Raw genomic sequence first — 12,315 nt, forward strand, 5'->3', positions numbered from 1 at the left:
AGGCTTCGGTCCAGATTCGTTTCTTTGCCTATGAATGTCCAGCTGCTCCCGCATCACTTATTGGAAAGGCTGTCTTTTCTCCCTTGAATTGCACCTTTGTCAAAAAGCAGTTGAGTATATTTGCCTGGCTCTCTTTCTGGGTTATCTATTCTGTTTCACGGATCCATGTGTCTATCCCCCTGCCAGTACCACACTGTCTTGATTACTGTAGCTATACAGTAAGCCTTAAAATCAGGTAGAGTGATTCCTCCTACTTTATTCTTCTTTGTCAAAATCACTTTAGCTATTCTAGGGCCTGTGCCTTTCCATATAAATTTTCAGAATAACCTTATCCATGTTTACCAAAAAACCTTGCTGCAATTTTGATAGGAATTTCATTGAACCTGTATAGCAATTTGGAGAAAATGAACATCTTTACCATGTTAAGTCTCCAAATCCATTAACGAGATATGTCTTTCTGTTCATTCAGGTCTTCTTTGATTTCTATCATCAGTGTTTTTTACACTGTAAATATAATACAATTTGTATTTGTCAGTTGAAATAGATGTGTTATTCCGCACTATCATGGATGGAGGGAAGATCTTTGTTTCAGGCTACATGGAACATACTGTGGTTAATCCCAGTCCTGCTCATTGTATTTGCCTACTTGGACTCCTTTCTAGACCTGCATCACCATTTGACAATATTCAGAATACCGATCCTAAATATCAGCAGTCCTCACCCTTTTTGGCACCAGGGACTTGTTTCATAGAAGACAGTTTTTCCATGGACCAGGGGAGGGGCAGGCAGGGATGGTTTCAGGATGATTCAAGTACATTATATTTATTGTGTACTTTATTTCTATTATTACATACATATGAAATAATTATACAACTCACCATAACATAGAATCAGTGGGAGCCCTGAGCTTATTTTCCTGAATCTAAATGGTTCCATCTGGGGATGATGAGAGACAGTGACAGATCATCAGGCATTAGATTCTCATAAGAAGAGCACAACCTAGACCCCTAACATGTGCAGTTCACAACAGGGTTCATGTGCCTATGAGAATCTAATGCTGCTGCTGATCTGACAGGAGGTGGAGCTCAGGCAGTGATGCAAGCAATGGGGAGTGACTGTAAATACAGATAAAGCTCTGCTTGCTCACCTGTCGCTCACCTCCTGCTGTGTGACCCTGTTCCTAACAGGCCATGGACCAGTACTAGTCCATGGCCTGGGGACTGGGGACCCCTGCTATACATGTCTTAAGTGTATATCTAAATATTTCTTTTTCTTTGGAGTAATTATACATGATATTAACTTCAATTTTCACATATTCATTGTTAGTATGAGGATATGCACTTTTTTTTTTTTTTTTTTTTTTTTTGGTTATTGATCTTGTATCCTGTGACTTTGCCGATCTCACTTACTGATTCTAGGAGGCTGTATTTCCTTTAAAAAAAATTTCTTGGGATTTACTACACAACTATGTGATCTGCCAATAGGCACAGCTTTATTTCTTCCAGTGCCCTTTATTTATTTTTCTTGCCTCACTGCAGTGACCACAATTTCCAGTACTAGGATGAATAAGAGTGGTGAGAGCAGACATTCTTGCCTTGTTCTTCAAGGCAAAGGGTTTCCTCAGACCAGGCCATCTAGTGTCACCTGGCTGGAAAGGACAGTCTGAGGTCCATGAGGATGAGAAGACATCCTGAGTGCCCTCTGCCAGTGTCCCCAGCTGCCCAGGTGTCTCTGGGTAGGGAAAAGGAGTTTTGAGCTCACAGGGATAAAGAGGCTTCCCATACCAGGCCACTTATTGTGGGGCCTGTTCTGCTGATGGCCCCCAGACACTGTGGCCTCTCTCAGTAGAGGACAGGATTCTCAGGACCAGCAGGGAGGCCAGTATTTCCCTTAGCCTCTTACCCTGGGGCTGGGTTCAGCCTCTTACCCTGCTGGGGCTGCTTTCTTCTGCTGGGTGGTGGGTCAGGAAACACCATGCCTGGGCCACCTTCTCCTGTTGGGCAAGGGGAGGATGTAGATGCCCTGCTGCTGCATCGCCTTTCCAGCACTGGACTCCCAAACCAGCTCACCTTCTTACCACTTTCATCATTCTCTTTTGGTTGCCTCTTGTGCTATTTCCAGCGTTTATTATCATATTTAACAGAGAAGAGCAGAAAGAAACAAGTCTATACGATCTTGTCCAGGCCATAAATCATATCATATCCCATTGTATCTTTTTAAAAGTTAGGGTGAGTGAGATATTTCTTTCAATACAATTCTAAATAATATATGTAGACGCTGGTCCCTACAGGAAACAGACCTTAATTCCTCCCCTCCTCCCCTTGAGGGTGGGCTAGGGTTAGTGACTTGCCTCCAAAGAAGAGTAGGGAAAGGGGAAATCATGGCTTTACAGAGAGGCAGCCTGAAAAACACCATGTTCACCAACTGATCGAAGTCTGGAGTTTAGTTAATTAGTGATGTACTAATGTGTTTCTTAGGTTTGACAAGTATATTACTAAATACCAAACATTCTTCCAATAAAAATTGCTCATCAGAGAGATGAACATCTTACAACACTGACATTAAAGGGTTTTTGCCTAAATATTGCTGACCTGGAAGTGCCTCACTGAGCACATATTATTTCATCTCAGAGACAGTACTGCTACGGAAGTGACAAAACCAAGTGCATGCTTTGTGTCTGCTCCTTCTAGTAGGCAGTGACCTGGGGACCAGACATTTGGGGCTGAATCATTGGCAAAGTGGGAGCTGAGGCTCCCAGGAAGATCTAGCGTCACTTTGTCTTTCCTGCATGGTTTCTTTGATGTAGGATGTTGTAAGGAATGCTGAATACTGTCCTAAAATATCCAGGTCAGGGAGCCATGGCCAAGTCCTCTGACCTGTTGGATGGCAAGTGTAAACCTTCAGAGGGAGTGTGTCACCTAGAGAGACAAGGTAAAAGGGTGTTTATGTTCAGATTACCTTATGGTCATCAGGAAAAACAATGTGGCCGGTATTCATTATTCACTCATGAGTCATAAGTAGAACCTCTGTAAAATAACTGCACGCAAAACCTTAACGCCTTATTTCAACCACTAGTTTCAACCTGAGTCCTGGTAATACCAATGATCACAAGTGCTGACAAGAAAAACATGCCCAGATAAAGTGTGGCTACATGTTAGAGAAATGAGTATGGGCAGAAAGATGCCTACGTTTGGAGGTATGTATACAAGTGAAATGTTGGTGGGTATACACACATGTGTGAGCAGGTAGATGCACGTGTCTGTGTGAAAACACTGCTCTGTGTGAAGATTTGCAACAGGGGTCTGGGTATGAATGCCACAGTGTGGCAGACAAGTGAGAACTACAAAGAGTGTGTGTTTATACATAAGAGTAGTACAGATATGACCACTAGGAGTATAGGAGTCTGTTAGTGTGTAAGGATGGAATGTGTGAGTACAAGAGGCAGGCAGCTCACATAGGTGGTTCGGCTTCTGATCATCCGTACATGTTAATGTCTGTGGGGGGTGTATACATGAACATGAAAGTCTGTGTTTAAAGCCTCTCCTTTGATGGAGGCCCCGGATAAATGAAACTATGCTAACATTTTGCAAGTCCAGCATCATGCTCAGACACAGGCAGGGAGAGCCTCCACTCTGTGCCTGATCTGACTGCGTCCCTCCCAGGGCGGTGGGGCTTCTGTAGGGCTTAGAAAAAAATGACCAGCCAGAGCTCATGCTTTGCCTTTCCAGCCCATGTCCTTGGTCCCTGAGATCCCAGAATTTTCTGCCCAAATGGCCCTGAGCCACCTTCCATGACTATCTGGCCTGTCCTCCAGGTCTATCCTTTTGAGGTGGCCTAAGCTGCCAGTGAGGGCCCTCTAGGCCCAGGAGAGGCCATGGGGCAGTGGTTTGCAGTGACGAGGGGGTTACAATCAGCACCTTGCTGGCTGTCTGCCGGCATGCACACCAGGCCCTTCATGGAGTAGGATGAAGCCAATGGTGGTCAGTGAATGGGAGCTCTTTTCACACAGCCACACCCCAAGCATTATCAGGGTTAAGCTGCCAAGGAAGGAGGACAGAACACATGTTATTGTTTAACAGTGGGTTAGCCTGATTTATGATTTAGTTATTTAGACAGGAGGTATGTGAACCTCTGCTTAAACTCTCCCTGTAGGCCCCACAAATGTTAGAGGCAGGCTGTGCATAGATGTACATAAGAGCATGCTTGCCCAGGTTTCTTTGAGCTCTACCAAACCTAGTCTCCAGCCCTTAGGTCCTGAGGTATAGAGATGTAGACTGGGGCTATGGTCATATCTGACCTGGATTGGGGAGGGAATGGTTTAGAATCAGCTCATACAAGTACACACTCTGCAGACCCTAAAAACTGGTTCCTTTCCCTTATCAATTCCCCACTGGTCACACATATAGATGCACAGCAGGAAAACATCTACTGAGCACAGAAATATGTCAGGCCTGGGAGCTTCCTGAACTGGACAAGATACCTGAATATAATGAAGAGCTCATTTCAGCAAACTATACTTGGTCACTGGTAAACCCATAGCACCCTCACAGCCCCCAACCAATACCATTCAGATCTAATTACTCTGGGGTGAGGACCAACGCAGGGATGAGAGGCCTGTTATCGAAAACCACTTTAGCACTGCTCCAGCTCACAGCCACACTGTCCTCTATAATGACTTCACCCAATTAGCTTGCTAGCAGTCTGCCTTTTGTAAATCAGCGATGCCAATGGAATGAATTCTGCACCGAAAGGGAAGGGCAAGCAACTGGTAATTGCATGGAAATCATTAATTGCCTTTCAGGTTAAGTGAATTATCATTATTTCCTCCATTTGGTGGCACTGTGTGCAGATGAGGTCAAGCGGGCAGCCCACCATGAGCTCCCATTCCCAGCATTCACTCATTCAGTGAATGGAAGAGTGGCAGTGTGTGCCTCTCTGAGAGGCAGAGGACTAAGAGTGCTGGGCCCTCCCCTGAGAGCCCCCCATCTACTTAGTCCCAGGAAGGAACATCCCACAGACAGGCCATATATGGAAAATGTACACATCTATGAACTGCTTTCACTCCTAAAATGAAGCCTAACCAGTTTGTTTAAGACCTCTGCCTGGACTGAGGCTCTGAGTAAATGATGCTTTACTGACGTCTCACAAGAATGTTTAATTCTCACAAGTTTCACAGGGAGCTAAGCTGAGCAAATACTCCATTTTGTAAACAAGACATGTGGTGTTAAACAAATAATTAGCCTTTATTTCTGGAAAGAAGAAAGAATATTTTGCCCTTATTCAAAGAGTCAACGTGTTAATAACTCCTACAATTCAGACAGCAGAAGGGAAGAAGAGGATGCAGTCTCTAAGGCACTGGTTCTTGAGCTTTAGTGTATGTGAGGATCACCTGCAGGGCTTATTAAAACACAGATGTTGGGCCTCATTCCCTGAGTTCCTGCTGCAGCAGATATGGTTGGAGTGTGGGACTCTAACAAGGTTCCAGGGGTTGCAGATGCTGCTGGTCTGGGGGCTACACTTGAAGGCACTGCTTCAGGAAATAGGTTTTTTTAACCTCAAATTACCTACAAAAACTCAAACTTATTTTAAAAGCAATACATCATGGTGGTTGAGAATATGGACACCGGGATGAAGGAGATCTAGATTTAAAGTGTGATTCCTCCCTTTACAGCTGTGTGATCTTGGGCAAGACTGGTTCACCTCTTCAAAATAAGCTTTCTCTTCTATAAGTTGAAATCAATTCCTCACAGGGCTGTAGAGAGAATTAAAATGAACTAATATATGTAAACCCAAGCTACTTATATTACACTAAACAATTACTTCAGTTAACTAATGACTGTTATCAGTAGGTCTTATTAGTACTAATGAAGTGTTAACAAATTATTTTGCATAATATGCCTCCCCAAAGAGACAAACCCTATTTTCAGTACTGGCTGAAATTTGCACTCACATACACACTGCAGTCCTTGAAACCACTTGTTCCTTTATGCTAAACATGCTCCTTACAATCTTGCTCACAATGTGAAATTATTTAGAAAACACTCTTTCACAGAAAAACTAAATGTAAGTTCTTTAAAATAAGTGCTACACATAAAAGGCAACTCAAAATGAATCTCATTTATGAAGAGCAAAGCAAAAAAAATTACCACATAAAGAAGCACAATAAAAGAATAGTATGTCATGACCAAATAGAGTTTACACAAGAAAGGCAAATATTGCACAAAATCAGTAAATCCATCAAACCAGTGAATATTAATAGAGCTCACGTAAAATCATGTAATCATTCCAAAGACACTGAAGAGGTACTGAGCAAAATTCACCCAGTCTTGGTAACAACAAAAATACTCAATAAAATAGGAACAAATATATACTTCCTTAACACGATAAAATATATTTTTCTCTATTACAAAGCTAAGATCACACTTAATGGGGGCAACACTAAAATACATGTGTGATAGTGAGATATACACTTGATCTTAGCCAAAAGGCTAAAAAGTGATTGATAGTGAGATATAGTAAGAAATATACATTTGGTCTTCATTCCTGATTTGTGGCACAGAGCTCCTAAAACCCTTAGAATGTGAGTGATACATGGGAGAGAAGCATCTTTTGGTATTCACAGTAAGATCCTTTTAACCCCATATGAGTTTATGCTAATGAAATGACTCCTGAAGGATGGGGGCTGGTTTCCAGAGGAGCCAACCATGTGATTAAAAGATTTTAACTTGCAGCACTAATCCCCAATTTCCAGGGAGAGGAGAGGGGCTAGAGATTGACCTAATCACCAATGACCATTAATTTGGTCAACCATGCCAACAAAACAAAGCCTCTATAAAAACCCTAAACAATAGGATTTGACAAGGTTCTGAGGTGGTGAATGCATCCACATGCTAGGAAGGTGATGCACCCCAACTCCACAGGGAAACTCCTGCACTTGGGATCATTCTAGACCCTTGCCCTATGTATCTCTTCATCCGGACTTTCATTTATATCATTTATAACAAACCAGTAATAAATAAGCAAAGTATTTACCTGTGTTTTAAGTATTTACCTGGCACCGTGACCCATTATAGCAACATATTGAACATGAGACGGGAGGTGTGGGAACTCCTGAATGTATAGCCAGTCATCAGAGGTATGGGATTTGTGACTGGCATCTGAAGTGGGGGGCAGTCTTGTAGGATTGAGTCCTTTAATTTGTGGGATCTGACACCAACTCCAAGTGGATAGTGTCAGAATTGAACTGAATTGGAGGACACCAGTTAATGTCCACAGAGAATCAAAGGATTGCTTGGTGTGGAAAAAAAAAATTCAGACATTTTGTATTAAAAGTGTTATGTCTATAGAGAAAAAGTTTTTCCCTTTAACAGACAAGAAAAATCAAGATCAAAATAAGACAAGGGAATTCACTACCATCATTGTTAACTTACATTGAATAAGGGAAACTAGGAAAAGCCTAAAAAGGTATAAAAATGGTAAGAAGCACTTAAATCTAGGACTTTTTAAAAACAAGTTGATTATATACTTAGAAAGTCTAAAAGAATAAGCTAAAAAAACTATAATAAACCCAACACAGCTCAGAAAGCTAGCAAAATACAAAATTGACTTGCAAATATCCATAGCTTCCTTATATGCAAACTTCCATTAAGTAGTAGACCTATGTGAAGAGAAAATTCCATGTAAAATAGTACATATGAAATAAAATACCAAGGAATTGACTAAATAAGAAATACACCAGAGCTATAAGAATAAAACTTTAAAACTCTTCTGAAGGACACAAAAGAAAATTTGAACAAATCAGAAGACATACCATGTTCTTGGACAGTGTATTAAACCATTCTTGCATTGCTATAAAGAAATATCTGAGACTGTGGTAATTTATAAGAAAAGAGATTGGATTCTCTCAAGGTTCTACAGGCTATCTCAGAAGCACAGTGGCATCTGCTTCTGGGGAGGCTTCAGGAAGCTTCCAATCATGATAGAAAGCAAAGGGAAGCAGGCATATGACATGGCAAGAACGGAGCAAGGTGGGAGGAGATGCCACATATTTTTAAATGACCAGATCTTGCCAGAACTCAGAGTGAGAGCTCACTTATCATCAAGGGGATGGGCTAAGCCATTCATGAGGGCTACACCCCAGTGATCCCGACACCTCCCACCAGATGCCACCTCCAACACTGAGGATTACAATTCAACATGAGATCTGGGTGGGGATATCTATTTAAACTATATCACACAGGAAGACAAACTCACAGAGCTGTCAACTCTCCTTAAGGAAATTTGTAAATGTAATGCTCTCCTAATGATAACCTTGTTTTTAGGTTGGAGATTATACAAGTTTATCCTTAAATACATTTAGAAAAATATAGGACTATAAAAAAAAAGAGAGACTCTGAAAGAGAAAAGTCATGAGGAAGGACAAGCATATCAGACAGTATAACATTATCGAACAATGATTAAAATAGTGTGGGACTGGTACTGGAATGTGACTATAAGACAAACAAATAGATCTAAATACAAAGTCCAGAAACTAATCCAAATACAAATGGAAATACTTCAGTGTAAGTGAAGATGGCATCTCAAATCAGTGGACAAAAAAATGTATATTCAACTAGTGACACAAGGACAACTGGATAGCATCTAAAGAATAAAGTTGGTTCTATATCCTACATCACGTACCAAAATAAATTCCAAATGGATAATGAGATTGATAGGAAAATCCTATTAAATTGAGGGGTGGTGGGAGCAAAGTTAAATTTAAAAAATAATGGGAGAAAAACTAGAAAAATCTCTTATTAACCTCAAAGTGGAAAAGGCCTTTAAGACATGCCTGAAAATCCAGAAGCCATAAAATTCGAGGTTAATAAATACAAACACATAACAATGAAACTTTTACTTAGTAGTACACATAAGCAAAGTCAAAAGACAAACACCACCACAGGAAACTGATTCAAACTATAGGTAAAAGGCTAATATCTCTCTATATAAAGAGCTTCCAGAAGTTAACAAATGAAAGACCAAGGACCCATCTGAAAGATGGGCAAAGGACATGAATAGACATACTTACTGCCAAGGCTGGTTGGAAACAATTATTCCCAAATACTGACTGCTATGGTTTGGATGTGTCCCCTAAAAATCATGTATTGGAAATTTAATCCCCAATGCAACAGTGTTGGGAGGTGGAGCCCAGTGGAAGATGCTTATGTCATGAGAGCTCCACCCTCATGAATGATGAATGTCAATTATAAAAGGATTCCAGTCTTTAAGTTTTATCTCTTGCTCTCTGTCACCCCTTTTGCCCTTCAGCCATGGGATGGCACAGCAAGAAGGCCTCACTAGATGCTAACCCCCTGATCTTGAACTTCCCTGCCTATAGAACCATGAGCCAATAAATTTCTCTTCATTATATATTACCCAGTCTGTTGTATTCTGTTATAATAGCACAAAGAGACTAAGACATTGACCATTATGGAATGGGGACAATTTCCCAATAGCCATCAAAATTAAGAATGCATACATCTTCTGACCCAGCAGCTCCTCTTCTGGGAATTCAGCATATTGAAGAACTGGCACAGGTATATGAAATGACATACATACAAAATTATTCATTCCAGAACTGCTTATGATAGTAAAATACTGGGAACAATTCAAAGACTCATTAACAGAGGATAGGTTGAATAAGTTATGGTCTATTTAACACTAAAAAACCATACAGGCCAGCATGGTGGCTCCCACCTGTAATCCCAGCACTTCAGGAGTCCGAGGCAGGCAGACCTCTTGAGCTCCTGAGTTCAAGACCAGTCTGGTGGATATGGCAAAACCCCATTGATATGGTTTGGCTGTATCCTCACCCAAATCTCATCTTGAATTGTAGCTCCCATAATCCCCAGGTCATGGGAGGGACCCGGTCGGAGGTAATTGAATCATGAGGGTGGGGTTTTTGCTGTGCTGTTCTCATGATGGTGAATAAGTCTCATGAGATCTGATGGTTTTATAAAGGGTAGTTCCCTAGCACACACTCTGGTGCCTGCCACCATGTAAGACTTGCCTTTCTTCCTCCTTCGCCTTCTGCCATGATGGTGAGGCTTCACTAGCCATGTGGAACTGTGAGTCCATTAAACCTCTTTTTCTTTATAAATTACCTAGTCTCAGGCATTTCTTCATAGCAGTATGAAAATGGACTAATACACTTGTCTCTACCAAAAAAATACAAAAATTAGCTAGACATGGTGATGTACGCCTGTAGTCCCAGCTACACAGGAGGCTGAGGTGGGAGAATCACCTGAGCCCAGGAGGTCGAGGCTGTAGTGAGCTGTGATTTCGCCACTGCATTCCAGCCTGGGTGACAGGGTGAAACCCTGTACCCCCAACCCCCAAAAAAACCATACAGTTGTAGAAGAATAAAAAAGTTAACAATTATCTCTATGCACAAACACAAAAAAAAGACATATTATTTGCAAAAAGCAGGGCGGAGAACATTGTGTATAACATGTTCATATGTCTTGGAGAAAGAGAATATATATACAAATGCTAACTAATGTGTGTATTAAAATTCCTCTGGAAGAATACAAAGAAACTAATAACAGTGGTGACAGGGTGAGAAAATTGAGCACAAAGAGACTTTTTACTGTACTTCTTTCTATTTTCATTCCTGAACCAACTGAATTTATTCCTTATTTAAAAACTATATTCAATAAAAAAATAAAAAACCAAAAGGAATGTGATCTTTTCTGGGATTATTTTTTAGAAAATGTTATCCAAACGTGTCCTGGGAAGTGCCTTGTCCCACCTACAACTGAGCCGCTGATTTTTCCTTGGCTCGTTCTTGAGCCCCATGTTTCCTTTCTCTTAACAGCTAATACCTGGGGAAAAGCACGCTGAGGCCTTAAGATGCCCATAATCGGCGGCTATTTTTTAATCTCTTAAAATTACAATGAAACTCACCCAAACGTTTCAAAGGCAGGCTAGTATTTTATATTTTAAATTCAGTATCAGAGCCTTTCTATTTTTATGTGTTTTCAGTCTCACTTTCCTAAGACCAAAGACATCATCGAGAAGATAATTTTCTGAAATTGATAGAAAAAAAGGTGAGTATTTAAATGGGAACTGCTGTATTCACATATGGGTACCATCCAGAACAAACTGATTTAAAGTTTCTAAGATAATGGAAGACTTATTCATGTAAAAAACCTCCTACCTCTCTGTGTTACCAAAAGACCCTAAATTAATCAACGTAAGAAATGATTCTGTCCAAATCTACTATTACATTTCACAGGAATTCTGCAGGAAAAATGCCATAATTTAAGACACTGATGGTGCTGCTGATTCAATTTTCTGCTTGCATAAATATCTGCTAAATCCCTTATTATGACTGAACATGGCTAGCTGCAGGTATGAGACCTCCAGTTCTAATCACTGCAGCCACCAGAACTAATGATTCCATAACGACTCGAAACTGATAAACTAGCAGGCCAGCCTCACCCACCACACTGTTCCGCGGACTTGCATTAACAGCACTAGCAGGGAGAGTCAGGATCTATGGGCAATGAACAGGGATTAAAGGATTATTTAACCAGATAAAAGCAATGAGGATGAAACTATTTCTAATAAGGTGGCAATGGCCCTCTTTCCCAACAGTGGTGGCAGTCTCAGTAAATATTCCAGAGAAGAGTGTTGCAGCTTAGGTTATTATTGATGAAAGATATAACTCTAATAAAAATTCAGTGAGTATAAAAAATGTCAGAGATGGTTTTGTATCATGTGTAATAAAGAAAGGCACATAAAAATAACATGTTGCCTATAAAGAGACTATATTACATTCAATAGAGGTACTCAAAAACACAAAGTCAGGGACTTAAAGAGTCTGCTAGTGGCACAGGGATCCACAAAAAACAAACCTCCAAAATTCAACGTGTAGAAAATTCAGATTTATGCTGGGACTTGGAGAGACTGCTCTGGGAAACCCACTGTCTTTAAGGTAACTGTGAGCCTGTTGCTTCCACTATGCGATTTTCAAAATGAAGATATTTAGGAAGAAAACACATAACAGAATTTGAAGGGGGAAAAAACCATTTTTGAGGCAACTAAAAAGAAACTGTATATATTGAAGCTGAATTCTAGATGCTTCCAAAAAGCCATAATACCAAAGTGGAAAAATTAATTTCTGACAGAACTATAAAACACAGTAATCAATTTTGAATTTGAAGTCAGGAGAATGTGAAATCTGTGGGCCTTAATTTAGTAGTATCCCACCAGACGACAGAGTCCCACTTGACACTGACCAACAAGATTTTGTTCTACCCTCAATGGAAAGTG

General features: G+C 40.6%; 1 protein-coding gene across 1 annotated transcript in view, besides 1 other annotated feature; it reads right to left on the reverse strand.

The window, feature by feature from the left end:
- The window catches only part of SPOCK1 (SPARC (osteonectin), cwcv and kazal like domains proteoglycan 1), a 524,029-nt gene that overhangs the window by 257,075 nt on the left and 254,639 nt on the right, over positions 1-12,315 (reverse strand). The gene's annotated exons all lie outside the window — the stretch shown is intronic.
- Positions 2,244-3,443: an enhancer, noted in NCBI's record as "P300/CBP strongly-dependent group 1 enhancer chr5:136570305-136571504 (GRCh37/hg19 assembly coordinates)". NCBI's record gives its function as "activates an origin of replication core promoter dependent on BRD2, BRD4, P300/CBP, MED14 and CDK7 cofactors, with strong dependence on P300/CBP, by STARR-seq in HCT116 cells {active_cell/tissue: HCT116}" and the evidence as "EXISTENCE:reporter gene assay evidence [ECO:0000049][PMID:35650434]".

Source organism: Homo sapiens, chromosome 5 (assembly GCF_000001405.40).
Source record: "Homo sapiens chromosome 5, GRCh38.p14 Primary Assembly".
Taxonomy (NCBI): Eukaryota; Metazoa; Chordata; class Mammalia; order Primates; family Hominidae; genus Homo; species Homo sapiens.